This window comes from Homo sapiens, chromosome 12, assembly GCF_000001405.40.
Source record: "Homo sapiens chromosome 12, GRCh38.p14 Primary Assembly".
NCBI classification, from domain to species: Eukaryota; Metazoa; Chordata; class Mammalia; order Primates; family Hominidae; genus Homo; species Homo sapiens.
The window spans coordinates 124370209-124397671 of NC_000012.12; the positions used below are offsets into that span (position 1 = coordinate 124370209).

At 60.1% G+C, this 27463-nt stretch overlaps 1 protein-coding gene across 3 annotated transcripts in view, besides 11 other annotated features; it reads right to left on the bottom strand.

Annotated features, from left to right (window-relative positions):
• NCOR2 (nuclear receptor corepressor 2) overlaps positions 1-27463 on the bottom strand; it is a 243198-nt gene that overhangs the window by 45794 nt on the left and 169941 nt on the right. For 2 of the 3 annotated variants that reach the window (NM_001077261.4, NM_001206654.2), the window contains exons 19-21: positions 15537-15679; positions 8029-8176; positions 1814-2402 (exon numbers count right to left, since the gene is read on the bottom strand). In NM_001077261.4, coding sequence (NP_001070729.2) covers positions 1814-2402; positions 8029-8176; positions 15537-15679 — 880 coding nt within the window. Of the gene's footprint in view, positions 1-1813; positions 2403-4204; positions 4256-8028; positions 8177-15536; positions 15680-27463 lie in introns of all 3 variants that reach the window. The other variant, NM_006312.6, reaches the window with a different exon arrangement.
• Positions 11382-11930: an enhancer, noted in NCBI's record as "H3K4me1 hESC enhancer chr12:124866136-124866684 (GRCh37/hg19 assembly coordinates)". NCBI's record gives its function as "activates a minimal SCP1, AML or CMV promoter by ChIP-STARR-seq in naive H9 embryonic stem cells {active_cell/tissue: H9 hESC(naive)}" and the evidence as "EXISTENCE:reporter gene assay evidence [ECO:0000049][PMID:30033119]".
• Positions 11931-12477: an enhancer, noted in NCBI's record as "H3K4me1 hESC enhancer chr12:124866685-124867231 (GRCh37/hg19 assembly coordinates)". NCBI's record gives its function as "activates a minimal SCP1, AML or CMV promoter by ChIP-STARR-seq in naive H9 embryonic stem cells {active_cell/tissue: H9 hESC(naive)}" and the evidence as "EXISTENCE:reporter gene assay evidence [ECO:0000049][PMID:30033119]".
• Positions 13923-14659: an enhancer, noted in NCBI's record as "H3K27ac-H3K4me1 hESC enhancer chr12:124868677-124869413 (GRCh37/hg19 assembly coordinates)". NCBI's record gives its function as "activates a minimal SCP1, AML or CMV promoter by ChIP-STARR-seq in primed H9 embryonic stem cells {active_cell/tissue: H9 hESC(primed)}" and the evidence as "EXISTENCE:reporter gene assay evidence [ECO:0000049][PMID:30033119]".
• Positions 14660-15395: an enhancer, noted in NCBI's record as "H3K27ac-H3K4me1 hESC enhancer chr12:124869414-124870149 (GRCh37/hg19 assembly coordinates)". NCBI's record gives its function as "activates a minimal SCP1, AML or CMV promoter by ChIP-STARR-seq in naive H9 embryonic stem cells {active_cell/tissue: H9 hESC(naive)}" and the evidence as "EXISTENCE:reporter gene assay evidence [ECO:0000049][PMID:30033119]".
• Positions 15396-16132: an enhancer, noted in NCBI's record as "H3K27ac-H3K4me1 hESC enhancer chr12:124870150-124870886 (GRCh37/hg19 assembly coordinates)". NCBI's record gives its function as "activates a minimal SCP1, AML or CMV promoter by ChIP-STARR-seq in naive H9 embryonic stem cells {active_cell/tissue: H9 hESC(naive)}" and the evidence as "EXISTENCE:reporter gene assay evidence [ECO:0000049][PMID:30033119]".
• Positions 16133-16867: an enhancer, noted in NCBI's record as "H3K27ac-H3K4me1 hESC enhancer chr12:124870887-124871621 (GRCh37/hg19 assembly coordinates)". NCBI's record gives its function as "activates a minimal SCP1, AML or CMV promoter by ChIP-STARR-seq in primed H9 embryonic stem cells {active_cell/tissue: H9 hESC(primed)}" and the evidence as "EXISTENCE:reporter gene assay evidence [ECO:0000049][PMID:30033119]".
• Positions 19079-19148: a silencer, noted in NCBI's record as "silent region_5057". NCBI's record gives its function as "represses an Ori minimal core promoter by ATAC-STARR-seq in GM12878 lymphoblastoid cells {active_cell/tissue: GM12878}" and the evidence as "EXISTENCE:reporter gene assay evidence [ECO:0000049][PMID:35858748]".
• Positions 20598-20777: an enhancer, noted in NCBI's record as "active region_7284". NCBI's record gives its function as "activates an Ori minimal core promoter by ATAC-STARR-seq in GM12878 lymphoblastoid cells {active_cell/tissue: GM12878}" and the evidence as "EXISTENCE:reporter gene assay evidence [ECO:0000049][PMID:35858748]".
• Positions 21745-22434: an enhancer, noted in NCBI's record as "H3K27ac-H3K4me1 hESC enhancer chr12:124876499-124877188 (GRCh37/hg19 assembly coordinates)". NCBI's record gives its function as "activates a minimal SCP1, AML or CMV promoter by ChIP-STARR-seq in primed H9 embryonic stem cells {active_cell/tissue: H9 hESC(primed)}" and the evidence as "EXISTENCE:reporter gene assay evidence [ECO:0000049][PMID:30033119]".
• Positions 24505-25194: an enhancer, noted in NCBI's record as "H3K4me1 hESC enhancer chr12:124879259-124879948 (GRCh37/hg19 assembly coordinates)". NCBI's record gives its function as "activates a minimal SCP1, AML or CMV promoter by ChIP-STARR-seq in primed H9 embryonic stem cells {active_cell/tissue: H9 hESC(primed)}" and the evidence as "EXISTENCE:reporter gene assay evidence [ECO:0000049][PMID:30033119]".
• Positions 25195-25882: an enhancer, noted in NCBI's record as "H3K4me1 hESC enhancer chr12:124879949-124880636 (GRCh37/hg19 assembly coordinates)". NCBI's record gives its function as "activates a minimal SCP1, AML or CMV promoter by ChIP-STARR-seq in naive and primed H9 embryonic stem cells {active_cell/tissue: H9 hESC(naive and primed)}" and the evidence as "EXISTENCE:reporter gene assay evidence [ECO:0000049][PMID:30033119]".

Below are 27463 nucleotides of genomic sequence, written 5' to 3' on the forward strand. Positions count from 1 at the left end.
GGATTTGGTGCCCTCAGAAACCCGCAGGCCAGGCCTTTGCTCATCACAGGGTCAGGGTCAGGCCGTCCACTTCTCACACGCATGGGCGCGGTTCCTGTTGGCAGTGGTTCCTGGGGACCCTGAGATTTTGTTTTGTGGAACCTATAGAGATCCGGGTGAACCTCAGTTCCTAGGGAATGTCCTAGGACTTCCCCCTTTAACATGGCCCAGGGTGAACCCCAGGGCAGAGACAAGGGCCCCGCATGACCCTGCGGGTCTGATTTTCCTCCCTCGCTTGCTCTGCCCAGGACCATTCCAAGGGACTTGGGAGGGGAGAAAACAGACCACACTGTAGTTGAAATAAAATGGCCTGCCTGCCCCACCAGAAAACAATTCCTCCAGCCATCCAGATGTGAGCAGGACGCAGTCTCCGCGGGTCTGCCCTCTGCCAACCGAGATTGGCCCTAACTTGGGTAGCCATCTTTGGTTCTGGGCTGGAGGCCTTGAGGCCCAAAGCATCTGTGCTGAAAATGGGTAAAAGGTGGCATTCTCAGGGATGTGGGGTCACCCAGGCCAGGAGCAAAGACAGAGGCCAGAAAGGAAAGAACACACCTCAGAGACATCAACACCCAAACAGGACGACACTGGGGTCCTCCAGGCCACCCCAGCTGGAGAGGAATTTGCAAGGGGAACCTCTGCACCTGTGATCCAAGGTGATCACCTGTGATCCTGAGCCCTGGACCCTTGGCTGATGGGAGATGAGCCACCAAAAACATGTTGAACCTGTGGCTTTTCCCCAACCCCACGGCCACCACGCTCGCATCTCCATCACCAGCCCCAGGGCACTTGCAGCTGCCTCCTGACTGTGCCTCTCACTCCCAGCAAATCCCCCACATGGTTTCATGGGTAAATCACATCTGGCTCTCTTGGGAGAGGCTCGTAAAGGCCTTCTCACTGCCCTGAGAACAAAATGCAGCCCCCACCTGCCAGGGCGTGACTCAGTGCCCCCACCCCCGTGAGAGCTGCCCCCCGTCCTGCCAGGCTGCCCCCTCCCTGAGCCACCCTTTGGCACCTGAATCCACCAAGCTCATTCCCACCTCGGGCCTTCGCACTTGCTGTTCCCACCACGCTGAGGGTAGAACTGTGTCCCCCCAGAGAAGGTACATTCAAGTCCTAACCCAGGGTCTCTGTGAATGTGACCTTATTTGGAAATAGACTGTTTGCTGATATAATCAAGTTAAGATGAAGCTGCACTAGATTAGGACAGCTGCCCATCCAATGCCTGGTGTCCTCAGAAGAAGAAAGTGTGGACACAGAGATGCACAGGGCGAAGGTCATGTGACAGCAGAGCCAAAGACGGAGTGGCATGCCAGCAATCACGACCGCCAGCAGCGGCCAGGAGCTGGAAGAGGCGGGATGGATCTGCCCAGAGGCTCGGAGGCTGCGTCTCGGCCTGCATGGTGCCCCCAGGCTCCTGGCCTCCAGGACTGTATTTGTTAAAAGCCACCTGGCTCGAACTACCTTGTGAGGGCGGCCCTAGGAAGCGAGCAGGCTGCCTGGCACACTCTCTCCCTAGCGCTGCCCAGGGCTGCCTCCTCTGTCCGGGTCTCAGCTTGGATGTCACCTCCTGGGGAGGTCCTCCCGGCCACACCTCCGCCCCTTCCTGGCCTGCATCTCTCATTCCTGGACTCTACTCCAAGTCTGCCTCCCTAACCACACCTCGGGCTCCCCCAAAGCAGGCAGAGCCAGACTGGGTGCGGCTGTCTAAGTAGGTAGTCGCTGCTCAGTGTCTGCAGACAAAAGCCAAGGTTAGGGCTGCCTGGCGCCCACTCACCGGTTCTTGTCGCCGCCCTCGGCCTCATCCACCTCGTCTGCACTGCAGGTAGCACTGGAGTCGCTGTCCTGGGGGGCGCCCGAGCTCTTGGCTGTGGTGGCCCTGCCGCTCCCGCCCTCCTTCTTCTCTGCCTTGAGCGCCCCCTCGGCCGTGGCCTCAGCGGCCTCCGCGTCCTTGCCCTTGGCCGGCCCCTCCTCGGCTTCCTCCGTGCACTCGCTCTTGACGGGCTCCTCGGCCTTCCCTGTGTCCACTGCCAGCTCCTCAGCCGCGGGGGGCTTCTGCTCCTCCCCCTCCTCCACTGGGGGCGCTGCTGCGGTCTCCTCCTCCTTCTCCTCCTTGGGGACCACAGGAGGAGGTGCAGAGGGCGATGGGGGTGCTGGTGGGGGCGTAGGGGCTCCGGTGGCTTCAGAGGCCGGGGTGGGCTCAGTGGGGGCCGGGATGTCCTCCGGTGGTGGGGTGGGTGGCCCTGGGGGTGGCCCGTCGGCGCCCAGGGTGGCTGGGGGCTTGGGCCCATTCTGCCCTGTGTCCTTGGCGGCCTCAGTGTGAGGAGAGGGGATGCTCTCGGTGTCTGAGCTGTTGTTGACAGTGGCTGTGCAGGGCGAGAAGGAAGAGGGGATGAGCAGGGTCTGGCGGGGCCTCCAGAAGAGATGCATGGCCCTGACCCTCCGGATGAGGCCGCTCTGTCGCCTGATGCCAAAACAGCCCCGAGGCTCCTACACACCTGGGCTGCTGCCTAGAGCCCCACCCCTGAGACAAAGCCCCTGACCAGGCCCCTACCCACAGCTGCTGCCCTCGCCTGGCCGCCTTTCTCCCAGACTGACCCTGCTGGCATAACCTGGTTAATTCCCAACCCCAGGACCTCCTGGTGGTCAGCACCCCCGACAGATGGAGCCAGCCTGAGGGTGGCCGTGGGCAAAGGCCTTCGTCCTGGGGGTCTCCATGTTCTCATCTGAGCTCTAACCCCGGCTCTGCCCCGCACTGGCTGCGTGCCACGGGAAACTCAGGTTACCTCTTGGGCCTCAGTTTTCCCATCTGCAGAACGGGAGAACAATAGTTCCCATCTCACAGGGCGGAGAAGCTGGCAATTGTGAGGGCAAGGGCAACTGCCTGGTGACTGCCTGCTGCTGCACCACCATCGCCACCATCATCGTCACATGACAGTGTAGAATGCGCTCAGTGTGAGTACAGGGGACCCGGGCACAGTGGACAATGAGGCCAGTGCGTGTGCAGGGGACCCGGGCACAGTGGACAATCATGAGGCCAGTGCGTGTGCAGGGGCCCGGGCACAGTGGACAATCATGAGGCCAGTGCGTGTGCAGGGGCCCCGGGCACAGTGGACAATCATGAGGCCAGTGCGTGTGCAGGGGCCCCGGGCACAGTGGACAATCACGAGGCCAGTGCGTGCGCAGGGGCCCCGGGCACAGTGGGCAGTGAGGCCAGTGCGTGCGCAGGGGCCCCGGGCACAGTGGACAGTGAGGCCAGTGCGTGCGCAGGGGCCCCGGGCACAGTGGACAGTGAGGCCAGTGCGTGCGCAGGGGCCCCGGGCACAGTGGGCAGTGAGGCCAGTGCGTGCGCAGGGGCCCCGGGCACAGTGGGCAGTGAGGCCAGTGCGTGCGCAGGGGCCCCGGGCACAGTGGACAATCATGAGGCCAGTGCGTGCGCAGGGGCCCCGGGCACAGTGGACAATCATGAGGCCAGTGCGTGCGCAGGGGCCCCGGGCACAGTGGACAATCATGAGGCCAGTGCGTGTGCAGGGGCCCTGGGCACGGTGGACAATCATGAGGCCAGTGCGTGTGCAGGGGCCCTGGGCACGGTGGACAATCATGAGGCCAGTGCGTGCGCAGGGGCCCCGGGCACGGTGGACAACGAGGCCAGTGCGTGTGCAGGGGCCCCGGGCACAGCCCACACCAACGGCCTCAGCATGGGTTTTACACAGCAGGAGCGCGATCTGTGCTGGCGGAGTGGCAGGATGAAAGCACGCACCCAAGGATGGCAAGGAGAGCCCAGCCGCATTCCTGGCTCTCTAGCCCCCAAACCCACACCCGGCTCTTCTTTGAGTCTCAATGTCTCCCATTTTCTGTAAAATGGGGATACTTGAAAACCCCTGCATTTGCTATCAGGGAAATCAAACCCGGTCGGAGACCCAAGCGTACCAGTGAAAATCAGCAAAGCAGTGGAGACGGGAAACTGGTCTGCTGGAGTGAGCCCGGGACCAGCATGGGGAACAGCCACTGTGCTGGGAAGGAAGCCCAGAGGCCGCGGAGCACAAACGGTGGCGCTCACAGAAAGAGGCATGTGCTCAGAAGCGGGGTTCCTTGTGGAGGACCGGGGACCTTGGGATGCCCGCCCCGGCCCGGCCCTACCCCCCAGGCCAGCCGGCCACATTCGTACCTGGGCCACTGCATTCCCCTCTGGGCACCTCATTCCCAGAGGCATGTAAGGCTGGAAGGAAGTCAGAGAAGAGTTAGAAGTGAGGCAGCACCAAGTAGTGGGAGGGGAGGGAGGAGGCAACGTGGCCAAGAGGGGCCTGAAGCCCAGTGCACAGCAGTGAGGCCTCGCTGCTGCTCGCTCTCCTGCCCCGACTGCCCTTCTCCATGGACCGATGAGCCCTCTCCCTCTGGGCTCTGGCCAGCGGCCACAGGTGACCTGCAATAGCCCTGAGCAGGCTGGTCCAATGGCCTGTTCAAGGCCAGCCAATAATGGGGTTGTTCAGGGTGAAAAGTGAGCTTCAGCCACTCTGGGTGTCCTTGCCCTAAGTCATCAGCCTCCTGGTGGAACCAGGCTCCCAGGATGCCTGGAGTGGGAGGTGTTGACCTCAGGGATGGGCAAGGTTGCAGGGAGAGGCTTTTGGGGCTGCTGGGGCCTCTTCAGCCTTCATTGCCCCCCCACCAACCCTCCAGTCTCTCCTGCTTCTCACCTCCCTTCAGGCCCCAGAGCAGAGGCCACCCTTTTTAGAAACAATAGCAACAGCAGCAACGCTGGCTGCATACAGGCCAGGCTCCGTGCCGAGTTCTTCACACACGACTCCTTTAAGACCTCTAAGACTGGGACCACCAACTCTCATGTGCAGATGAGGAAATGGAGGCAGACAGGTTAATCAGCTTGCCCAAGGCCACGCTGTGGAGGGGAGAGCACTGAGCCCAGCTTCCTGTGTCCTTAACCCCTGGCCTTCCTCTGCCTGGTGACTTCAGCAATGTCATTCCCTTCCTTCCACAGTCAGAGTACAGGACGTTGGGAGGCCAACGCTGAGGGCCCCAGGACCAGGGATGAAACTTCTGGGTCTCAGTTTGTTCATCTACAAAATGGGCAGTTAACTTCTCGGTCTCACAGTTATCAAGGGGGTCTGGGGCAGGAGCCTGCATGAGAAGCACTCCAAGGGCTTGTGACAGTGCAGGTGGCTGCACTATGCCCCGAGGTTTCTGATTCAGTACGTGTGGACTGGGGCCCAAGAATCAGCACTTCTAACAAATCCCAGGGAACACTCTGCCACCGCTGCCCTAGAATCCAGGTGAAGTGCTTTGTGCAGCATCTGACACACAGTAGGTGCTTAACAAGAGTGACCAAAAAACCACCAAAAATAAAAAATAGAAACACACCACCAGATGGCCTCCTTTCCTTTCTGCCTGGAGGTCCCCAGTACCGGGCTGCCTGGGTTTGAACCCCGGTCACCAAATGCGCCTTGGATAACCCCGCTATGCCTCAGTCTCCCCATCTGTCAAATGCGGAGAACAGCATGGCTTCATTCACTATGAGGATACTATTATTATTACTGGAGAAACCACTGGGCCAGGGTATCACTCCCAGCCCCGCGCTGGTGTATTTCCAGCCCAGATGCAACAAGACGCTTTCCACTGCCCCCGGGGAGGGGCCTGCAGTGCCGCTGGGGCTGGCTGGGTCTCCGGGGAGATTCAGGCAGGGCAACCTCAGGCTCCAACCCAGCACCTGCCTCACCTCCCCATCCTGAGCACAAGAGACAGGTCACGCAGCGTGCGCTGGCTGGGCCGGCAGACCCCGAGCCTACCGGCTATGTGCTGGGACACCCCATGGGAGGGGTTCTCCTCTCCCCTGGGCTCCTCGTCCTTAAGATGGGCTAACACCCTGGGCACCAGGAGGCTTAATCAGGGCCTCTCACCTGCCGTCCCTGATCTCTCAGAGCAGCCACGGAAGACCACCACTGTCACAGAAGCCTCAGCTCCAGCCACCTCAGCCCTCCCTCCTCCCCCACCCAGCAGAGCATGCCCCTCCCCGTCCCTACGGGGCTACGTAAGCTCTGCAAGCGATGCGGGGGTCGTTGCCACACAGTCCTGGGTGGCGTCTGCTCCGGTTTTAATGTGTGGCCATGGCTTGGCTTCCTGAAATGCTCCCACCAAGCCTGCATCCCGCCCATTCAGACACTGGAGGGATATTTACAGAGGGGACTGGGTTTCTGCTCCCGGGGTCTTCTCCTGGCTACAGACCCAGGACCCAAAATGGGACGACCCAAGGGACTCGTGGCCCAGGCCTTCCTTCCATCAGACACTAGCCAGGCTTCTGGTCAACTTGGGTCAGAGAGACCCAAAGCTGGTGGGGAGGCCAGACTCAGTGTCCCTGACCCGCCCCCAACTTGAGATGAGTCACCCAAGGGCCCAGTTGCCCATTTCCAGCGGGAAGCGGGGATTCGGGCTGGTGAAACCCTGCGGGCTGGAGGAGCCTGGATTTATCTGCAGGCTGGGCTTATGGAACCAGGAGGTGACTTGCACCTTCTGCCAGGGAGAAGCCAGGGCGTTCAAAGGCAGAGAGGGAGGGACAACAGGAACAACAAGAAGGACCCCAGACGGGGCAGGAGGAAGGAGGGTTGAATTCACCAAGGACTTGGGCTCCGCCGGGCTGCTTGTTTCTCCTTCAGAGAGTCAGAAAGGAGAGTCAGGGACACTCAGCAGAGAAGGGCTGAGGTCCTCCAGGGGCCTTCGGTCACGCCACAGGGGGAGCAGTCTAGACCCCCAGCTTCCCCTTTGACAGGGAAAAAGAGGCACAGGGTGGGGGTCGAAGGTGGATGCACTCGTGACCGAGAGTGCGGGGCCAGGTGTCGGCAGCCCGTGTTCAGTTCCCGGGTCTATACACACTGATAACAAAGTTGAGCCGTGTGTTATCCGGAGCCCTGGACAACACACAGCTCATGTGGTCACAGTCCTGCATTTGAGGGGACTCGGGGGGACCCACCAGCACCATGCACACGATGGCTTTACGCCCTCTCTTCAGCAGCACTCACCTGGTGGGGCATTTGTCTAGTCTACAGCTGGTGCAAACAACACACTCCGTGGTACCTGGGGCGCCTGGGCCCAGGCCTTTAAGTGCCTGAGCCTCGGTTTCCCCATAGAGAAAACGGGGACACCAAAGAAGGGGACTGAATTATTTATCACTCAAATAGGGACACTTGGGAATAAAAGGAGACACTGAAAATAACTATATAACTTGTACAATATTTACCGACTGACAGATAGGTTCTATTTATGCTGGTTACCTTGTAAAAGAGTTCTGGTCAAAAAACAATTTTCGGGCCTGACGTGGTGACTCACACCTGTAATTCCAGCACTTTGGGAGGCCAAGGTGGGCAGATCACCTGAGGTCAGGAGTTTGAGACCAGCCTGACCAACATGGCGAAACCCCATCTCTGCTAAAAATACAAAAATTAGCCGGGTGTGGCGGCGGGCACCTCTAATCCCAGCTACTCAGGAGGCTGAGGCAGGAGAATTGCTTGAACCCGAGAGGCAGAGGTTACACTGGGCCGTGATCACGTCACTGCACTCCAGCCTGGGCGACAGAGCAAGACTCCGTCTGAAAAAAAAAAAAACAAAAAAAAACTTTTCCAAAGTAAATTTTTTTCTAAACTGTGACATCGGATGGGGTGAAAGACAGCAGGCACCCACAGGGCTGGCCTGGACGTCTGGTCACCCAAGCATAAGACTGGACTCATGGGCATCAGAAGAGCTGAGCGAGGCTTGGGGCTCCCAGAGAAGCTGATTATTCTCAGTATTGTTATGGCCTTCATCCTTGTGCCCATTACTGGTGAGTTTCTGGCAAGTCAGGCCCGCACCTTCCAGGGAGTCGAGGCCCCTTCTAAGGAGGACCCAGATGACTCAGGGGAGAGGAGGCTGCCGGGATCAGTTCCCGCTATGCCCTCCCTCAGAGCTCGGACCCACAGCTGCCAGCCACCTCCAAGCCGCGCCAGCCCTCACCTTCAGCCTCCTCCACCATCTCCTCCTCATTTCCGCTCACGCCCGACGCCTCCATCTCCTCATCCTCCACCACGGGCGGGAATGCAGCCTCCTCGCTGGCCGCCGCCGGCGCTTTCTTCTTCTTCCTCCGCGCGTTCCTCTCCTTCTCCTGGGGCACAGGGAAGCAGCAGATCAGGACTGGGGCCTGGGCTGTCAGCTCGGGGACTCCCCATGCCTGGGGCCTCGCCGCAGGTGCAAAGGGCAGTGATCCCGGCCATGTAGCAATGAGGGTGACCGTCCCCCTCACACCCCACCTCGGCAGCCAAGCGTGCCAGGGTTTATTTTTACCGGGGGCTTTATTCTTCCATTGAGCCCCAGATACACTCTGGGTACAGGCTGGCCCCTCAGCCACCCTGACATCCTTCCTGAGCACGAGAGAACCTGCCTGACATTGCCCAGGAGTCTCCTAGTCAGAGCGAGTGACCACGCCTCCTGGGGACACCCTGTCAGCTTCATCGGCACACGTGGAGTGAATGAACACAGGAAGCTTTTCCTTGCTATGCAAGTCTCACCTGTCCCTGGGGGAACAGGCCAGCCTGGGAAGCTCGCGTTTCATTCCCTGAACCTTTACAGAACACCTACTGTGTGCCCAGCTCTGCATACCAGGGCTGTGGGGACACAAGGCACGGGGTAGACAAGGTCCTGCCCTTGGAGGCTGCCCTGCCGCTGGGGAGACTGGCAACGTGCTCCTCACACAGAAGCAGCACTCAGAGGATCAGAGGGTCGCGTGGGTGAAACAGGATGGGACAAGGAGCACAAGGCAGGGGCTCCTCTGGACAGAACAGTCTGGAAGAGCTTCTGCAAGGAAGTGACATTTGAGCCAAGATTTGACGGCGGAGGGAATGGGCCAGGCCAGGCTCTGGACGAGAGTGGCAGGTGCGGGGAGTCACAGGTGCAAAGGCCCCAGTGTGGGGAACATGCCGGGTGTGTCCAGGAATGGAAAGAAGCCCTCATCGTCGGGCCTCCACTTTCCCCGCACCGCACCCTGCTCCTGGGAACCCCAGCTCCTCACACACAGAGCCCACTCTTCTTCCCCCAGCTTAGGCACCATCATCAAACCACTCGTCTTGGTAGCTCACTGGGGTGGGTGTCTCTTTGTCCCCACGCTGAGCCAGGCAGAGGCTCAGAAAGCGTTTGTTGACTGACTTGCTGAGCAACTGTGAAAGGCCAGCCTTCGTGGGCTTGAACGCATAGACAGCAGAGAGCAGGGGCATCGTGGAGGCAGCATCTCGAAGTGACTGGGGACTCCCAGGGGGACTGGAAAGACACTGGGGGGTGCCCACCACAGCCTGGTGTGACGGGGGGGCGGCAGCCTGATCCCTCTGGGGTTGCTGAGAAAGAGGTGGGCCCTCCGCCACACCTGGAGGTGCCCGCAGCTCTCAGCCAAGAGCCCTGTACTGGGTTGAATGGTGTCCCTCAAAGTTCACATCAACCCGGAACCTCAGACCTTATTTAGAAACGGGATCCTGCATATGTCATTAGTTAAGATGATGCCACACTGGAGTGGGGTGGGCCCTAAATCCAACAGGACTGACAGCCTTGGAAGAAAAGGGAAACACGGATTCAGGGACACGAAGGCCCTGTGGCAGTGGAGGCACATGTGGAGAGATGCAGCTACAAGCCAAAGAATGTCACGAACTGCCAGCAGTCGCTGGAAGACGGAAGAGGCTCCCCTGCAGCCTTGAATGTGAGCACAGCCCTGTGGACGCTTTGGTTCCAGACGTCTAGCCTCCAGAATTGGAAGAGAATACATCTCTGTTGTTTGAAGCCACCGGTCTGTGGTACTTCCTTGCGGCAGCCAGGGGGAATCACACATCCCTCTGCGCTGGTGCACCCGGATTCCAAGAAAAAGCTGCTGACGTCCAGACCACACAGCCTGCTCTCGGGCAAATGCCAGGTGGGCCCCGCCCACCCCAGCCCTTCACCGTGGCCAGGCTGGAGCTGGGCCTCATGGAGGGGAGGAGAGGGGGTCTCGGGCTCCAAGCCCCAGCCACAGGCAGGGAGTGGGATCACTTCCTGTCCTGCCTTCTTCCTGAGCAAACAGGGTTCCTCTGAGCACAGCCCCTTGGAACGCAGGGAGGAAAAGGGAAACGACTGCTCGTCCGTTAGTCACAGTTTCCGACACCAACAGTCGGCCAGAGGGCCACAGCCCTGCCCCTGCCAGTGCCCACAGGGCCCACAGGGATGCCCAGCTCTGCAACCCCGCACACGTCCTGGGCCCAGTCCCAGCCCTGCCCCGAATCCTGAGCCTCTCCCAGGAGAGTTCGAGCCTGTGGCGGCCTGAGAAAGTGGTGGCATGTGGGTTCTGCGGCTGCGGCCGAGGGCTCCCCCTGCTTCCCGAATCTATTTTTGGCAGACAGAGGCTCAGGAAAGACTCAGGGCTGGGTGCCCTGAGCTGCCCGGGCGGTGGCTGGGACATGGGAGATGCTCAGAGTCTCGCAGGGAACAGGGGTCTCCTGTCGGCCTGGTGGTGGCGCCCAGCATCCTGGAGTGCAAGGTGTCTCTGCGGGGGGCGGCGTGGGGTCTCTGAGGCAGTGGACGGGGATGGTGCCAACACCCTGAATCCCCACAAAGCTGGGTCTCAGAGAGAGTCCCAGGAGTTACAGTTAATCCTTACACACATGGTCCGGCACTGTGGGATCAGGAGGTGTGTGTAGAATAGGAGATGCTAGTGATGGCATTAATCATTATGCCTGACGTTTATTAAGCACCTACTATGCGCCAAGCGGTTTCTGGTATTAATTTACTGGACCTGCACAGCTGCTCTGCAAATCAGCGCATGCCACCCCCTGCTTCAAACTCTCCAACACCTGGATACAATCCCCAAGTCCTCCCCCTATCCATATGGCCCTGTGTGATCCAGCCCTGGACCCTGCCTGCCTCTCCAAGCTGCTCTCCCCTCTCCCCTCCTCAGAGACTGTGCTACAAACACACTGCCCTCCCTGCTCGCTGCCCCAGCCACAGGGCCTCTACACTGGCTGTTCCCCTGCCTGGACACCCTTCCCCTAGATATCTGCATAACTCACTTCCTCACCTCCTTCGGGCCTTAGCTCAGACATCAGAGAGGTCTTCCCTGATCACTCCATCATTAGCTCATCCCTCCCACCCCCACCATCAATCACTTTCTACTACATTCTTCTCATAGCATCTTCAGACTCCATTCTGAAATTGAGTGTGTGAACCTGTCTCTCGCACCAGCTCCTCAAGGGCTGGGATCTTTGTTCTCTGCTGTATTCCCACCATACCTGGAACAGTGTCTAGCACAGAACAGACGCTCTGTAACTATGTCTTTAGATGAATGAACCTGATAGACAGTGACAATGGCTCAGAGAGGCAAAGACACTTGCCCAAGACCACACAGCTCATGAGTTGAGGAGCTCAGATTTGAATGCAGGCCAGCTTCAAACATTTCGTGGCTGGACCATCTCTCTGCAGGCCTGTGCAGCCTCAGGTAGAAGAGATTAACAGCAGAAAACAAGGCGGGGCTGGGCCAAGGCTGAGGCGGACAGAGACTGAGGAACGTGGAAGCCGAGCCCCAGGGGCCTGAATTCACAGATGGGAGAAAAGGGTAACCTTCGGCCATAAGGAGGGGGAGGGAAACCTCGTAGAAGACACTGATGCCAAGTGTTACATAACTCCGGGACATGCCCCGCCCGCCCGGCCGCCGGATCCTGCTTCCTGCTGACGTCGCCTGCGGCCACACTCGGGCCAGACCTAGTGCAAGGCGGGAGGGGACACCCACTGACCCTCTGCTTCCCCACTCCTTCCTTCTCTGGCCAAGGGTGACATGTCTTCCTGTACTCCAGACAGGGCTGGGCCAGCAGCCAGAGGTGGCTGATACTGCGTTAGGATTCACTGGGATATGCCCTCCTCCCTGGGACTGAAAGGCACAGGGGAGGGGCAGGAGGTGGAGGTCACCAGGTTCAGCGGCACCTCTCCTGGTGAGACCTGCTTGCTTACTGCAGCGATGGGGAGCTCACCACTACACCAAGAACGGCTACTGTCAAGACGGATGGCCTGGCCTGAGCCCCACTTCCTGTAGTGGGTCCCTGCATCTGCTCCGCTTTCTCTGCAGCCCGCGATATGAGGGTGCTCCTTCAAGGTCGGCCAGGAGCGAGAACCAACCCCACACTCCCAAATCACTCATTCTCATCCAGGTCCCAACCTGGATCTCGGGGTCCCCTCCTGTCCACGCCTCCAGAGTCTTCAGCGTCAGGGGACAGAAGGGCCACCTTCTTTATCAGCTTTGACTGTGTCATTCGGATCAGAATCACTTTCATCGACACTAGGACGACCCACTTTGAGTCCAGCCCTGGATGGGGGCTGTGTCTCAGCTCAGAATCCTTCAATGCAGCCCCCACTCCCTCCACGGTCCACTAACGAAGTGTTAGCTCCACAGCCCAGCAGGAAAACCCCATCCATGTCTCTGCCCTCAGGGCAGCTGCCATTGCTTCCCTGGGATACAGCAGGCGCTGAATATGGGGCTGCTGAATGGACAGTGAGGATAATACTGAATGCTTATTGAGGGCTGACCAAGGACCAGGCACCACCCTTTACAAAAAGAAACACACTTGTTCTTCAACAGCCCTACGACTGGGTCCCATTCTTATCCCCATTTTACAGAGGTGGAAACTGAAGCACGGAGAGGTGAAGCCCAGTATCCTTGGACCCAGTCACTAAGCGGCAGAGCTGGGGTACAAAGCCACCAGCTCCAAAGCCCTGCTCTGCACCATCCTTCTGGGATGCCTCTTTGAATGAATGGATGAATGAATGAATGAATCAATCAATCGTGAGTGTGCCACCACCAGCACCATCACAGCTCTCACTAGCAGAGTGTCTGGGGCATACTAGGCCGCATTCCCAGCACTCTGCAGGCAGCCACCCAGTGTATTCCCATAACAGCCCTTTGAAGTGGGTTCCATTATTGTCCCCATTTCACAGATGGGGAAACTGAGGCACAGAGAGCACAGGTCACTTCCCCAAGGCCACACAGCTAGTAGGTGGCAGAGCCTACGTTCAAACTCAGCTCTCCTGGGCCCAGTCCCTGCTCCCAACCCATAGCACACTGTGGCTGTGCCTGCACGCACCGTTCAAGAGGCGCCCTCGTCAGTGGGATCTCTGGCTGCATGTTCGTCCACGCCAGCGGCTTCACTGGTGGTCACCACACTCAACAGGGTGCCTTAAGCATGGCCCGTGCCACCTTGGCCCAGTGCTCATACCTCCCACAAATCTCCTAGTCTAATAAAACCTTCCAACTCAAAAAAAAAAAAAGAGGGGGCCTCAGGTGGCCCTGAGAAGGGGGTAGATGGCATCCAGATAAAATAACAATAACCACAGCAGTAAGAGTAACTAGGGCACGTCGCCCTCCCGGAGCGCTGCCCCTCTGGCAGGCACTAAGGACCTCACAGGTAATCACTCGTTCACTCCTCATAGGACCTCTTGGATAACAACTGTTATTCTCCTACCTTACAGATGGGGAAACTGAGGCTTAGAAGGCTGAATTCACTGCCCAAGGTCACAGGGGTGCCCAAATCCACAAGCTGGGCCTTGACCCCAGTCTCGCCCTGGGCCTAATGGGATGGTTCACCGTGCTGGGGTCTCTGGTCCTCCAAGCCACTCTCAGGTTTTGGAGTCTCTAGGGGTACAGTGGGGCCACACCCTGCGGAAGCCTGGAAAGCCAGGCTGTGTGGCAGCAGGCTGCAGCGGGGGGAGACGTCCATGGTCGTGGGGTGAGGGGGACAGGCGGAGGGAGCCCCAGAGAGGGGAGGCGGGGGGAGGAGAGAGAAAGTGAAAGGACAGCTGGGGAGAAAGCAGGAGGCCCTTTTTGTTCCTGGGGAGATGCTCAGGGCCAAAGCCCTGCCCCCAAGTCATCCTGGATGAACCACCTCAGACTCCTGACCTGGCTGACAGAATCAATGGCCCACAACATCCCCCGGCCCAGGCCCCCTTCTGCGCCCCCAGGCTGCTCTGGCTCAGGCCCTCTTTGCCACAAGGGACTTCAGCAAGTGTTAGGGACGGGGTTCTGCACATTCAGCCAGATGCGGTGCCTTCCTCCACACCCAACCAGAAGGCCCGAAGCATCCAGAAGGAAAAGGCGCTGCCTGAAGCCCTGAGCTCTGGGGACAAATCCCAGGGGCCAATGTGGAGGGCACGCGGGGCACTGCTTAACTGGAAGTGATGGGGAGGGGCCTCCCTGAGGCCAGAGGGTGGATCTCAGCCCTGACCACAGGGCCGTGGGACCGTGGCCCCTCGGTCCCGGAGCCACCAGCGGCCGCGCGCACACATGACTCACTAAGAACCCACTCGGGAGGGTGGAAGGATGTCCTTAAATTCTGCACAGTGCTTGGGCGGAGTTCAAACAGGGGGAGGCTATACCTGGTCCTCCCACTGCAGGCTGTGTGACCTCACAGCCTGCTCACCCTCTCTGGGCCTCAGCAGGTTGCACTGAGGGAGCAATTCAGCATGGCCTGCCCGGAACCCACTGCACACACTTTACACCCAGGCACAAGGCAGCCCGATGTCATGGTTTGGGAGTGGCGGGGGGAGGAGTAGTCCTGGGGGAGGGGAGCTATGCAACCCCTCCCTCAGTGCTTCTGTATCGATGAGGAAACACGCAGCCTAGCGATGAAGAGCGTGGGTGCTGATCTCATAACTGTGGGTGCATATCGCAATTCAGTCGCACATGAGCCTGGCTAAGCCTCAGTTTCCCCAGCTCCAAAAAGGGGACAATGCTTGGCAAGTGTGTCAAAGAGGGAGAAAGGAGGGAGGAAGGGAAGGAGGAGGAAGGGAAGGAGAGAGGGAAGGCAGCAGAGGTCTCCCCAAAATGCTCCTCAATTCCCAGAAACAGCTGTGGAAGAAGCGGCTGCTCCTCAGAGGCCATTTACACGCTGGCGAGGCGAGCCTGCACCTTCTGTGCTTGTGGAGGAGGGAAGGGTCTCAGCCTCCCGTGGCCTGCCTCAAGCCCTCCAGGATGCTGGGGCTGAGACGTCCGCCCCCGCCCCCCCAGACCTGTCCCTCCCCAACCACGGCAGCCCTAAAGCTGTGAGGTCAAATGGGGCAGGGGAGCCACTCGCTCAGGACCCATTTGCCTCCGGGTCCTCATTCCAACGCGCTGACAGCCCGAATTCCTGGCTGAGTCAGTCTGGTCCACCGCGCTCCTTCCCCCACACCGTGAGACAGGGCTGAGGGCCCCCAGAGGTGTCTGTCTGAGAGGAGTGGGGTGCAGGGTGGGGGTGGAGGGCAGCCTGGCCCGGCCCGTCTCCAAGGCAGGGACACTCATAGCAGCATTGCCGCCTGCAGCCATCTCGGGGTACTCCCGGGCTTGAACCCCCAGAAGCTGAGTTCTAACAAGGCGGCATAATAGCCCCTCCCTGGCCCATGCCTCCTGGGGTGCAGAGACATCTCCTGAGGCAGTCTGGGCTCCTCTCCCAGCTTCCCAGAGGCGCGGTGCAGCGTGACTGGGGGCTCACCATCTTCAGCTTGTGCTGCTGCAAGATCTCATCGAGGTTCTGCCTCTTCTTGTAGTTGAAGTAGAAGTTCTTACACTGCGACACAGTCTTGGAGCCCACCATCCGGGCGATGGCCGACCAGTTGCGGCCGTGTTCCAGGAGACCTGTCTCAGGAGAGGAGGGCAGTGAGAAGAGGCCAGGCCCGGCACGCAGAGGGGGCCTGCATCCATGGCCTGGGCGGCAAACGGGCCTGGAGCAGAAACCCAGCCTGGGGCTCCCTGCTCAGGCCCAGGACCTCTGGAAGAAGAGACAGTGATGGGCCACGTGTCCCCTAGCGGGGAAGGTACTAGAGGGTGGCAGTCCTGGCCTCTGGGGTCTGGTTTCTCAGTCACTTGACTCCAGGCCAGGATGCATGGGAAAGGCCTGGGCTGGAGGAGCCAAAAGCGACAGGTGAAGTCCCACCGAGGCCACTGCGCGGGAGTCTGGGGGCGGAGGGCTGTGAATATCCAGAACGCACAGCCTCTGCCCAGGCCCCACCTCTCCTGCTGGGCGGAGGGCCTGGCCTACGTGACCCAGCCCTGACACTCGCTCACAGCTGCAGGCGAGGCCTCGGGAGACGGGTTGTTTTCCGGCCACACCGGCCCAGCGAAAGGAAGGGACGTGGTGAGCAGGGGATGGGAGGGTGGAAGTCAGGGTGGGGATGAGCTGGGGCCAGGAGCCTCCAGGCCCAGGTTAACTGGGGCACCTCCAGGGCCCAAACTCCCTAAGGGCACCTAAAGGCCCACTCAGGACTCGGGGCCCACCAGGCTTGGTTGCGCAGCTGGAATTTGCTCCCAAACCCCAACCCGCACAACCAGGAGGTTCTCTCAGCCTCACAGACCTCCTGCTGTGGGAAGAGACCCTCCAGGAATCGGCAGAAAAAGCTCCCTCCATCACTAGGTCTCAGGCCAGAACCAGAGCATGCCGCCCCCCAGGTTCTAGTTTCAAGGCCACAAACACCAGGCTCGGCAGAAACACAGCCCCTGCTGCACCGGAGGCAGTGCCTGGGAAGCCAAGCCCCCGGTCTCGGCCTGTCTGCCCGGCGAGCTGCGGCACACACAGGCACAGGCCAGGCAGCTCTATATTTATGCCTGTGTCTCCAGCGGCGTGACCTTGTGTGGCCCAGCCAGTCCATGCAGGTAGGGCCTGCCCACTTTCCCAGGGCTGTGGGAGAGACAGGGAGTGCTCCTGACCTAGGGGTCTGTGCGGCAAGAGGGTGCCCCTCCAGGGCAGCAGGCCCCAAGGCTGAATCACGTAGCTCGGGACATGGCAGCCTCTCTGAGCTGGAGCTCCACTTGTAAGGACTTTAATGAAGGATTTCCCATAATGAAGGTTTTAACCATTTTCCTTGAATAAAATCAAGCTGCAAGCCAAGCTCCAGCTAAAATTGTTCAGAGGTTGGGGAGCTGAGGGGCAGCCGTCTGTGTTGGTATTTTCATTCATTCATTCATTCATTCATTCATTCATTCATCCACCCACCCACCCACCCACGTGCTGGCTGCCTGCCTGCTACACACAAGGCTCTAATGCAAATAAAACAACAGCAGCAGAAACATCAACACATCAGCCCGTGGCACGGCTAACTGACACACAGAGTTTGCAAAGCCCTTCAAAGACTTGGTTCCGTCTCATCCTTGCTGTCATGGCTGTGACCATTTTCCCATCCCCAGGAGGGGGAAATCTCGGTTCAGAGGGTCCCGCCAACTCACCCAAGCTTAGAGGACCAGCCAAGGGGGGCAACGCGGGCGTGGGGCCCCAGACTTCCTGCCCTCCGGGTCCTCTGGCCCCCGTGGCGTGGGGGTGGCACTGACTGACAGGCCACCTGTTCGCCTGCCGTGGCCCTGGGAGCCACGTGGCCTCACAGCCCGCTCCTCAGGGTTCCTCAAGGACAGGCGCAGAAGGGGAGGGCCGGGGCGTGGGATCAAGTGGCACCCGGCCCCTGACCTTTCCCTCCGCCCGCGCCAGCAGCAGCTGCCACTTCCAGAACCTGGCGGACAGGGCCGCGCGTTTATTTATATTTCCCCAGCCGGGGCCAAGAGAGCCCAGGCAAACACACCGGGCCAGAGGGATCACAGACCCGGCACCCGGGTGGGAGAGGGCGAGAGGGGGCGGGTCTCCCATCTGGGCCTGCTGGGTGGGGTGGGCATGGAGAGCTCAGGGGGTGGGGTGAGGGTGGCCCAACAACACTGGGGAGGTTGACATTTCCAAACTCAGTCAATAAATAAGGAGGTAGCTAGGAGCCTGGCTGGGGGCTGGGGACCCTAATTAACTCCGATCATGGGGGCAGTGGGAGTGGGTTGAGGGCAGAGGAGAGGGGATGGAGGTGGGGGTGGGGGTCACCCAGCCCTTCCTGAAAACATACGGCTCCCAAAGGAGCTGGGCAGAGTCATCCAGGCGCCTGGCCAGAGCTCGCTAGCAGTCTTGGCCAGCCCTTCTGCTCTCCGGCCTCAGTTTCCTTAACTGCCGTGTGAGGAGCCAGAGTGGGTGTCCCATTAGTGCCGGCCAGGGCTGCGGGGTAGGGGCAGGCTGGCACTGGCTTCCTCTGGTTCCTGTTCTGGGAAGCCCAGGCAGAGGCTGCCAGGCACGGAGAGAAAGACTTTCTACCCTACCGTGCCTTGGAGACCACCCCGCCAGACCCAGCTTGAAGCCCCCGTCCACTTGGAGAGACCCCCTGTGCACACAGCATCACAGACCTTCCCAGGCACAGATCCAGGTCCCACCCCTGCTTCCAGGAGAGCTTCAGCCCAGCAGGGAGAGAGAGGAGAGGGCATGGGGGAAAGGATGGGCTGGGACCCCCATCCACTCCAGGGGCCCAGAACTCCGACTCCCCAGCTGCCCAGCCTCAAATCCCAGATGGCCACGTTGCGGTCCCTGTCCCTGCACCCGCAGTCCCCCATCCCCTCCCCAGGACCACTCACTCACATCCTCTCATTCGCGTCTCCCCCTCGGCCAAGTTTTCCGGAAACATAGGGCTGGGAAGATGCCCCAGGGAGCGGGCCGAAGTGGGCCGGCAGGCTGGGCGGCCGCGGTCGGCTCTGCGAGGCTGCTGGTTGGCGTCTGCTGGCGGCTCAGCTCAGCCTCACATCCTTCTCCGTCCCACGGTGAGGGAGGGAGGGAGGGAGGGAGGGAGGGAGCGAGGGAGGGAGGGACGCGGCGGGCGGAGGCTGGCTCGAGAGGGGCGGGCGGGAGGCAGCTCCTCACAAGTCCGCCTGCCTGTGGTGGCCCGGGGCTCCTCCAGCGGCCGCTGCCACCTCTGACGCCGTCCCCAAGCCGCTGTGGGCGCGCGAGGTGCCCTTCCCCGAGGGTGGTGGGTGGCGGGAAGTTGTCAGTGGTGCGTGTGGGATGCCCCTGGGCCAGGTATCACCGGGGCGCAGCGTGCCGAGCTCCTCCAGCACCAATGTGCCCAGTGCGGACGCTCAGCGAGCAATGCCGGCCAGAGCCCACAGACCCCCGGGCCGGGCAAAATCCAAGGACCCAGGCCCAGCAGGGCAGCCGTGTCCCCCGCAGCCGGGCTCAGCTCTGATCTTCTTGCTGCCTGACCCAGCGAGACGCGGCAGGACTGAATGTGACCTCCAGACGGAGGCTCGCGGCGGGCGGGCAGGCGGGCGGGGGAGCGTGGCAGAGGCCCAGGTTCACAAGGGGCGGGCCAACTTGGCACTGGCTCCCCCTCCCTCTCTCCCCATCCGCGGCGGTGGCGGCGTCAGCAGTGGTAAGAACAGATGAGGGTTCCAGAAAAACAGAGCTTCTCCACCCCCGGCAGACAGGGAGCAAACAGCTTCTTCCGCCATCATCCCCCGCCGCCCGTCCCCCCACCCTCCGTGTCAGTTCCACCTGAGCTCTGCCCCCTGCCTGGCCTGATGCTGCCGAGGCTGACCGAGCCCTCTGTCGGGGACTGTGGGTGGGCAGGGCTAGCCTCGCATTCCGGAGGGATCCCGGGATTTGAGGAGCCTTTGCAGGGTGCACATGAGACCGCCAACCATTTAGGGGAGGGGGAAGGGTTTGGGGATTTGGGGTCCCCAAAGAGCCCTCTGCTGCTGGGGGGGTCTCGGGACCACAGCTGCCCCTTTCGTCCTCCTCCGAGAGCCCCTGCAGCCGTGAAGGAACACTGTGGGAAATGCCGGGGAGCCACCCAGAAGGTTGAAAGTTAACTGAGCTGAACTTTGGATCCTAGATTCAGGTCACGACCGACTTCCCTGACTCTGGGATCATTAACCTGCTTTTCCCTTTAACTCCCAGCCCTTCCATCCTGCCCCCTAAAAATCTGGGGAGCAGAAGGCGTCTCTGGAATGTCCCTGCACCCCCAGCCCTCGTCCTGGGGCACGATGCCAGGGGAGGGCAACAAACCTCAACCACATCAGGGATCTGGGCCTCTCCACCTGAGTCCTGCCCTCTGCCCTCTGCAGGGGAGGTCTCAGTGCACTTTTAAGGATGCCAACCCCGTGAAATCACTCCTCTGCTTAAAATCTTCCAGTGACCACATGAAGCTCTTGGAATAAAATCCAAAGGCCCTAGCACGGCCCAGGTGACCCTTAGGAGCCAGCTCCATGAACCCGCCCAGCCTCTCTCTGGGTCACTCGTGTGTGCCCCAGGGCCTTTGCACCAGCTGCTCCTGCTGCCTCCACGGGTTTTCTCACAGATGTGCCTTGTCTTCCCTCTGGTCTTGGCTCAAGTGATGGCTCCTCAGAGAAGCCTTCCTTGCCCGCCCCTCCAAAGTGACCCCCCCCCGTCGCCCTGCCATCCCAGGGTTTGATCATCTTCATAGCTTTCACCGCCTCTGAAATTAGCTCCCTCGTCCCACTGCTCATCGGCAGGTGTCCGGGGCCTGCTGAGCACCCTGGGCATCTCTGCCACCCGTCTGGGTCCCTGGTAAGGAGCTTGCAAAGGAAGAGGGGGCTGTGCGTTTAGCTCTGCAGGGGGCCCCGAACCCTCCCAAAAGAGGCTGGGGTATCCCCCTTGACATCCAGGCACACGCCCCCAACACTCTGTGCCAGGGCGGAGATGGCAGATTCTGCCACCATGCCCTGTGGTCTGGATTCCCCGACCCCACTTCTAATTTCTAAGGAAGGAGTTTCGTTCTGAAGAGTCAGGAGGCAGGAACTAGGAAGTGAAATTGACCAAGACAGGAAGTCCAGCCAGGAGGTCTGAGTCACAGACGCCGAGTGGAGAGCCAGGCGCAGGGGCCCGGCGGCCACGGGAGTGGGTGCTTGGGGCCCCGCTGGGCTAATCCTCCTCTGGGCACCCATGGGGCAGCGTCCCACATGCCATCCGCGGGCCCATGACGAGCTGTTCTTGTGGGGGCCAGGACTCAGCCTCCTCGGCTCAGGTGCTCTGGCCCTCAGGGAGGCCTGTGCTGCCGCTCAGATGCCTCCAAGCTGCTTTTCTCCAAGGGTCTGCAAACCTGCATCCACAGCTAGGACTCCGAGGGGACCACACCACCGCCCACCTGCATCTGGGGATGTTGCAGCTGTTTTCTCTGGAAGTCAGCCCCCAACCCTGGAAACACACTCGCTCTCCCCACCCCAGCCAGTCACCTCCAGCCTTGACGTTTCCCACCCCTTCCATGAAGACTCACAGGCTGCCTGCCAGAGGGGTGCATCGACCACCGCCCCCCACCTGCCATTTTCCCCGAGAAACTCAGCATGCTCTGCCTAAAACCCTATCAAAGTTGGGAGGAAAAGAACCCAGCCGTCTTGGGCCTGAGTCATGCCACTTCCTCATTTCAGAAACCCCAAGCCCTGGCGGGGGGGGGGTTCCACAGGGACGGTGCCTCCGCATTGACACCCTTGACAGGCCGGGCACTCCTGCGTGTCTTGTCAGGACTTCCCGAACTCCTGCCATCCTGAAATCCTATCAGGATGTTGGCTGGATAACATCACACCTGGACTTGCACCTCCCCACTCTTTTCTCTCCATCTACTCTTTCAAAAATCAGCCTCGCTATCTGCCTTAGCCTCCGCATCAGCAATTATACCCGTAAATCATAGGTACGATGTGAAAAAGCTACGTCTTCTCCCAGCTCTCAAAAAAACCCAGACTCATTAAGATGAAATAAAGTCACCTGCATACGACCTGGCGCTGTCTCGCCTACCATTTCCGGAAGTGCCACGTTACACCTTTCAATGTCACGTTTTCCTACAGAGCAGAGCAAAGTTGGAAGCCAGCCTGGGGGGTCAGACAGACCACCCCATGCCCTGTGTCCACCGCAGTGGGCTGGGTGAGCACTGGCTCTCCCTCTGGCCTTGGTCTTCTCCTGTGCAAAGCAGAAGTCGTGTGTATGCGTGCGTGTGTACACACGCGTGTGGAGGGCCTGCCTTGTTCGTGAGCACCAGCCACGCCACGTGACGACAGGCATCATTACTACCGCATCGACCGCCAGGTGCTCCTTCCCTGAGTCAGGAGCCATGTGGATGCGGATTCATGGGTCTCCCCTAGGAGGGAAGGGGGGCTTGTTGATGCCTGATTTCATCTTCAAGGGTGCTGACAGGAGCAAGAGTGTGGTCCAGACCCTGCCCCTGTGTCTGGCTGTACCCCAAGTTCCTGCAGAAACCCCAATTTTTTCCTCCCTCCAAACCATCACAACAGACTGTTTCTCACATATCCGGCCGGGAGGCCAACCAGCCCCAGACATGCACCCTCCCTAGTGGTCTCTCTCCAGACCACACGTGGTGACAGTCTCCTTGGACGCGAGCCCCGAGGCACCGCACCGTCCCTGCCTGGTATACCACCCCTCCTGAGTCACACAGCTCGAGTGTCGCCTCCTGCTGGGCCCTGACGGACAGCTGCACCAGGAAGTAGCCGGGCAGACCCAAACCCAGGAGCAGCAGCACTGCCTACCGGCCCGCCCACCCCACTGTAAGCTCTGGCAGCTTTGTGCGGCAGAGCACACAGGCGCTCCTCTTTTGGGGGGCCCATGGTGGGCACAGCCCAAGGCTTTCCCAGTGGACATGTAGTGGAGGAGGTCCTGCTCTCCAGGCTCCAGGCTGGGGGCTCACCCCTCCCCTTCCCATGCCTTAGACGCTTCATCTATAAAAGCCCGTCAGGCCAGCCCATGTGCACAGCAATGGGTGGTTCCTGCCTCGCTCCTGTGAGAAGTGGCAAGGCCACTAGACAAGGCAGCTGGAGTCCTGGGGGAGGCCTCTGGGGTCTGCCCGGGCTTACTGGGAGCCACCAGGGCCTGGTCTTGCACATCCTCCCACTGTTGGCCGCTCCCTGGAGATTGGGAAGGACTGGCAGCCCGGAGGCGGGCCAGAGCCAACTCCCGGTCTAGAATGGTGTGACAATGGTGTGACCGGGAGCCTCCCAACCCCCTCCACAGCAGGTTCTCTGCCCGCCAGAGAAGAGGGCTGGGGCCTGGAGGAGCTGCCAGCAGAGCCTCGGGCCTCTCGCACAGCTGGGTCAGGCTTCCAAGCCAGGCCAGGCTGACCTTTCCCAGGGGAACCGAGTCCCTCATCCCAGCCCTGCTCCTGCCCTGCCCCTCCTTCCCCACTTGGCGCTGGGCCCGAGGGCAGGCGGCCAGCTCCCCGGAGCTGCCCGGTTCCTGGGGAAGCTGCCTCCTGAACATTCTCGGTCCTCAGGCAGCACAAGCCCCAGGGCAGGCAGCCACAGCCGCATGCACACAAGAAGGGAGGTTGCTCACTTGCCCACCAGAAACCCTATGGCCATCATGTCCCCAGCCCCTCCCCAGTGGCCTCCCACGCTCTAGAGTAATAGCTACACTCCATCCCATGCTGGCAAGGCCAGGCTCCCGGTGGCCCCTCTACCTTCTGGGATTCAACCACTTCTCATGGGGCCACACTGCCCCTGCCATGGGGCCTTTGCACATGCCTGTCCTGCCTTTGTTACCTGGTCAACAGGTTGGCCCATGGACTAACCTGTTCAGCTCTCATGCCAACCCCATTCCTACTCTGCAAGTAGAGTGCCTGGGTTCAAATCCCAGCTCTACCACTTCACAGCTGTGTGACCCTAGGCTGCTCACTAAGCCTCTCTAGGCCTCGGTTTCCTCATTTGAATAACAGAAGTATTAACAGCACCTGCCTCCTAGTCAGGTTGGTAGAGATAAAGTGACTTCATACACACAAAGCTTCCAGCAGTGCCCAGCACGCAGGATGGGCTCCACGGTGTTACTGGGTGATATTCACTATTATTTCGTGCTCTGGGTGTCGGCCCCTTCCTCGGGGTAGCCCTCTGACTGGTGGCCCCCAGCACCATGGAAGTTCCTCCAGTTGTCACTGTACATTTGCTTGGCAGGTGACTTACCTCCGACCCCCATCGCCGGGGCGAAGACAGAGGTGGCGGGGGCCGAGGCCCCAAAGTGTAGGTACCTGCTCAGGGTCAGACTCTGCAGGAGGCACAGCTGGGACCCAAACCTAGGGAGCAGGGTCTGGAGACTGCGCCCTAAGCTAGCGGCCTGCCATTTCTGAGTGCCTACTGTATACCAAGGACTGTTCCTATGTGGCTCGCTCCGTCTTTAAAGTGCCCCTGGGAGGTAGCATCCCTGCCTCATCTGAGAGAACGATGGTAACTGAGGGTGAAACAGATGGGCCAGGCCAAGGTCAGGGGGCTAAGGAGCTGCTTGTAGCTACAAAGTGATGGGGAGGTCGGTATGCCCCGGGCAGCACTGCCCTCAGCTCTTCTGTGTACTTTCACCAAAACCCCAGGAAGGTGGGTGTGCTGGGTTGGAGAGCATCCCCCCAACATTTTGTGTCCACCAGAACCTATGAATGTGACCTTATTTGGAAAAAGGATGTTTGCAGATGTGATCAAGTCAACGTGGGGTCATACTGGATTGGGGTGGGTCCTTGTAAGAAGAGGAAAATGTGGACAGAGACACGCAGGGAGAAAGGCACACAAAGACAAAGGCAGAGCCTGGAGGGATGTGGTCATGAGCCAGGGACTGCCAAGGCTGCAGGCAGGCGCCAGGGGCTGGGGGAGGCAAGGCAGGCTCCTCCCCAGAGCCTCTGGAGGGAATGCAGCCTCTTGGATGCCTTCAACTTGGACTTCTGGCCTCCAGAACAGTGAGAGAATACATTTATTTTAAGCCACCCAGTTCATGACCCTTTATTATGGCAGCCACAGGAAACATACAGTGGGCGCTCCTTGAATCCCACTGTACAGATGAAGAAACTGAGGCACAGAGAGGTTGGCTGACTTGCCTGAGGTCACACAGCTGAAACATCCAGGGGGTTGAGACCTGGTTTCTCCCTAGGAATGGGGCCCCTCTGCTGCTCATCCTCCAGGGCCATGCTACTAAAGTCTTCCAGAGGCTTCAGGCAGGCTGGGGTCCGAAGGCCCTGGGGAAACCTGGCTGCTTACCTGCCCAGGCTCCCCGAGGGAGGGGTGGGGCTGGCTCATTCCTGAGTGCCCCTGCCACACAGAGAGTGAGGCACTATGTTGCTGAAATGATGGGTAAAGGATGGGCAGAGACCATCTGCCTCAGCAATAGCCGCTTCTCCAGTCCCTTTTCCTAACTCTTGGTTTTCTGGGCGGGGGCTCCAGAACGTTCCTAGCTTCTCCACCCCGACCCCCTATGGAGGAGTTGCTGGGGCCTGCCAGCACCTGTCTCCCCGCCCCACCCCCGCTCCCTCCTGCCATCGCCTGGAACACACAGCCATTAGCAGCCACCCTGAGCAGTAATTGTCCAGATTGCTGTAATTCACGGCAGACGAACATGCTGCTGCTCACGACATTATTACAAATGTCACTGAGCAGGGCCTCCGCGTGCACGGCCCCCAGGGGACGCTCACTGCCGTCTCCATGGGCAGGACCCAGGATGAGCTCACTGTCATCACTGAGGACCCAACCTTGAGATGGTGGGACACGGGCTCCTCTCCGCCGGTGAGTCATCCCCAGCCGTCCTCCCAGCCTCCGGATCTGCCCTTCCAGAAGGCAAACAGAGGGCAGGCACTGTCTTCCCAGTTCTCAGGCAATGGGCGGTGGGGGCGGGGGTGGTCACCGGTGAGGAGGTGGTAGTGACAACACGAGACACGAGAAGGGATGGAGAGGCGGTGGGACCCTGGGCTGACCGTTTGGGGATGTCCACGCGGAGTCCTCCGATGGGTGGGTGCTCTGGGAAATCTCCCAGCCAACAGGCTGAGATCCCAGGGACTCACCTGTGATTAAAAATCTCACACAATTTTACACAAATGCTCACAGCAGCACTCTTCACAACAGCCACATGGAAACAACCCACACATCCCCCAAGAGATGAACGACCGACAAAATGTGGTCCGTGCAGGTGAGGGAATATTATTCAGCCGTACAAAGCTACTCAGATGAACCTCAGAACCATCATGCTCCCAGAAAGGAGCCAGACACAAAAGGCCACAAACTGTAGGATTCCATTCATTGGAAACGCCCAGAACAGGCCAATCCACAGAGACAGAGAGTGCATTAGTGGCTGCCAGGGGCTGGTAGGGCTGGGGCGGGGCCCTGGGAGGGACTGCTAATGGGTATGGGATTTCCATCTGGGGTGAGAAAAAGTTCTGGAACTAGGCAGTGGTGAGGGTTGCACACCAATGCAGATGTACTTCATGCCACTGAGATGTTCACTTTCCAGTGGTTAGAATGCTGAGCTTCGTGCCATGTGTATCATCTCAAAATTAAATAAAAGGCGGCGGGAATCACACAATTTCAATAAAGCTTCTTTTGCAGCCTATAATGAAATACATGCCAGAAACCACCAAGTGGACATTAAAGACAGAGAAACAACAATGTGGCCTCTCTGGGGGCTGACAGCAGCCCCAGGCCCTACCAGCTGGATACAGTGCCCAGGCCCTACCAGCTGGATACAGTGCCCAGGCCCCGCTGGCATGCCTCTCACTCACCACACACAGAGCCTGACCTGCAGCGGCAGGCAGGCCCTCCTTCCTGAATGGTGCGAGGGTCTCTCTGGGTCCAGGTTCACCTCAGCCTGGGGGGCGGAGGGCAGACTGCCCCCGGAGGAGCTCTGAGGGCGAGGGGCAGGGTCCCGGGGTGAGGGCGGGGGCTGTGGGGGTCTTCTCAGGGCTGTGGGGACCCTCAGCACCCCCCACAACTACAGTGGAGGACGGGGCCGGGCCCAGGAGCCCCGTGATCCAGGCTGTTCTCAGATACACCTGCCCTTATGTGCCAAGAGCGTTTGCTATAAAGGGCCTTTGTTCCCTCCATAAGTCACGACCTGGAGCTTTCTGCACAAAGAAACCGCACGTCACAGACAGCCTCGACTCCAGCAGGGCCACGGGACCAAGCACGGGACAGGGACGGGGAGTGGGGGCCTGGGCCTGCTCCCAGCCCCACACACCAGCTCCGGAACCCGTGGCACTCCTTGGCCTCTGCTTCCTGGCTCCTTGCCCACAAACAGGGACATGGGCGGGGACAGGAGCAGGCCCCACCTCTTAGATAACCGAGAGTGAGCGTGCCGTGGGAGCCAGGTGCTGCCCCGGCCTCAGCAGTGCTGCCAGTGATGCGCCAGCTCCGACAGCCCCTGCCCCAGGCCAGGCACGGCCGAGGGAGGGAGGAGATTCGCTCCCACTCAGCCCACCATGGGCCCTCACACAGGGTTATCTGATTCCGCACAGCCAACCTAGACGACCCTCCCACTCAACAGACGGGCAAACCGAGGCCCAGAGGCAGGTCACTGTGCTGGGAAGTAAAGATCTTGGCCAGGAGACAGCACAGCTGAGAGGGGATCCGGCTTAGGAGGCACTGGACCCCAGCCCCCACGGTGCTGCACATCACAAGGCCATCTGCTCGGGATGGCTTCTGCTGCCAGCACCAATGCCTGCTGGCTCCCTGCCGTGTGAGCCACTCCCACGACTGTCCCCAACGGCCTGGGTGTCCCCATCCACTCCAGAACCCGTCACCCAGATTGGGGTGCTCAAACCTGAGACAGGTTTCCAAAGCCCCAGCACACTTGAGCCCAGGATAGGACCT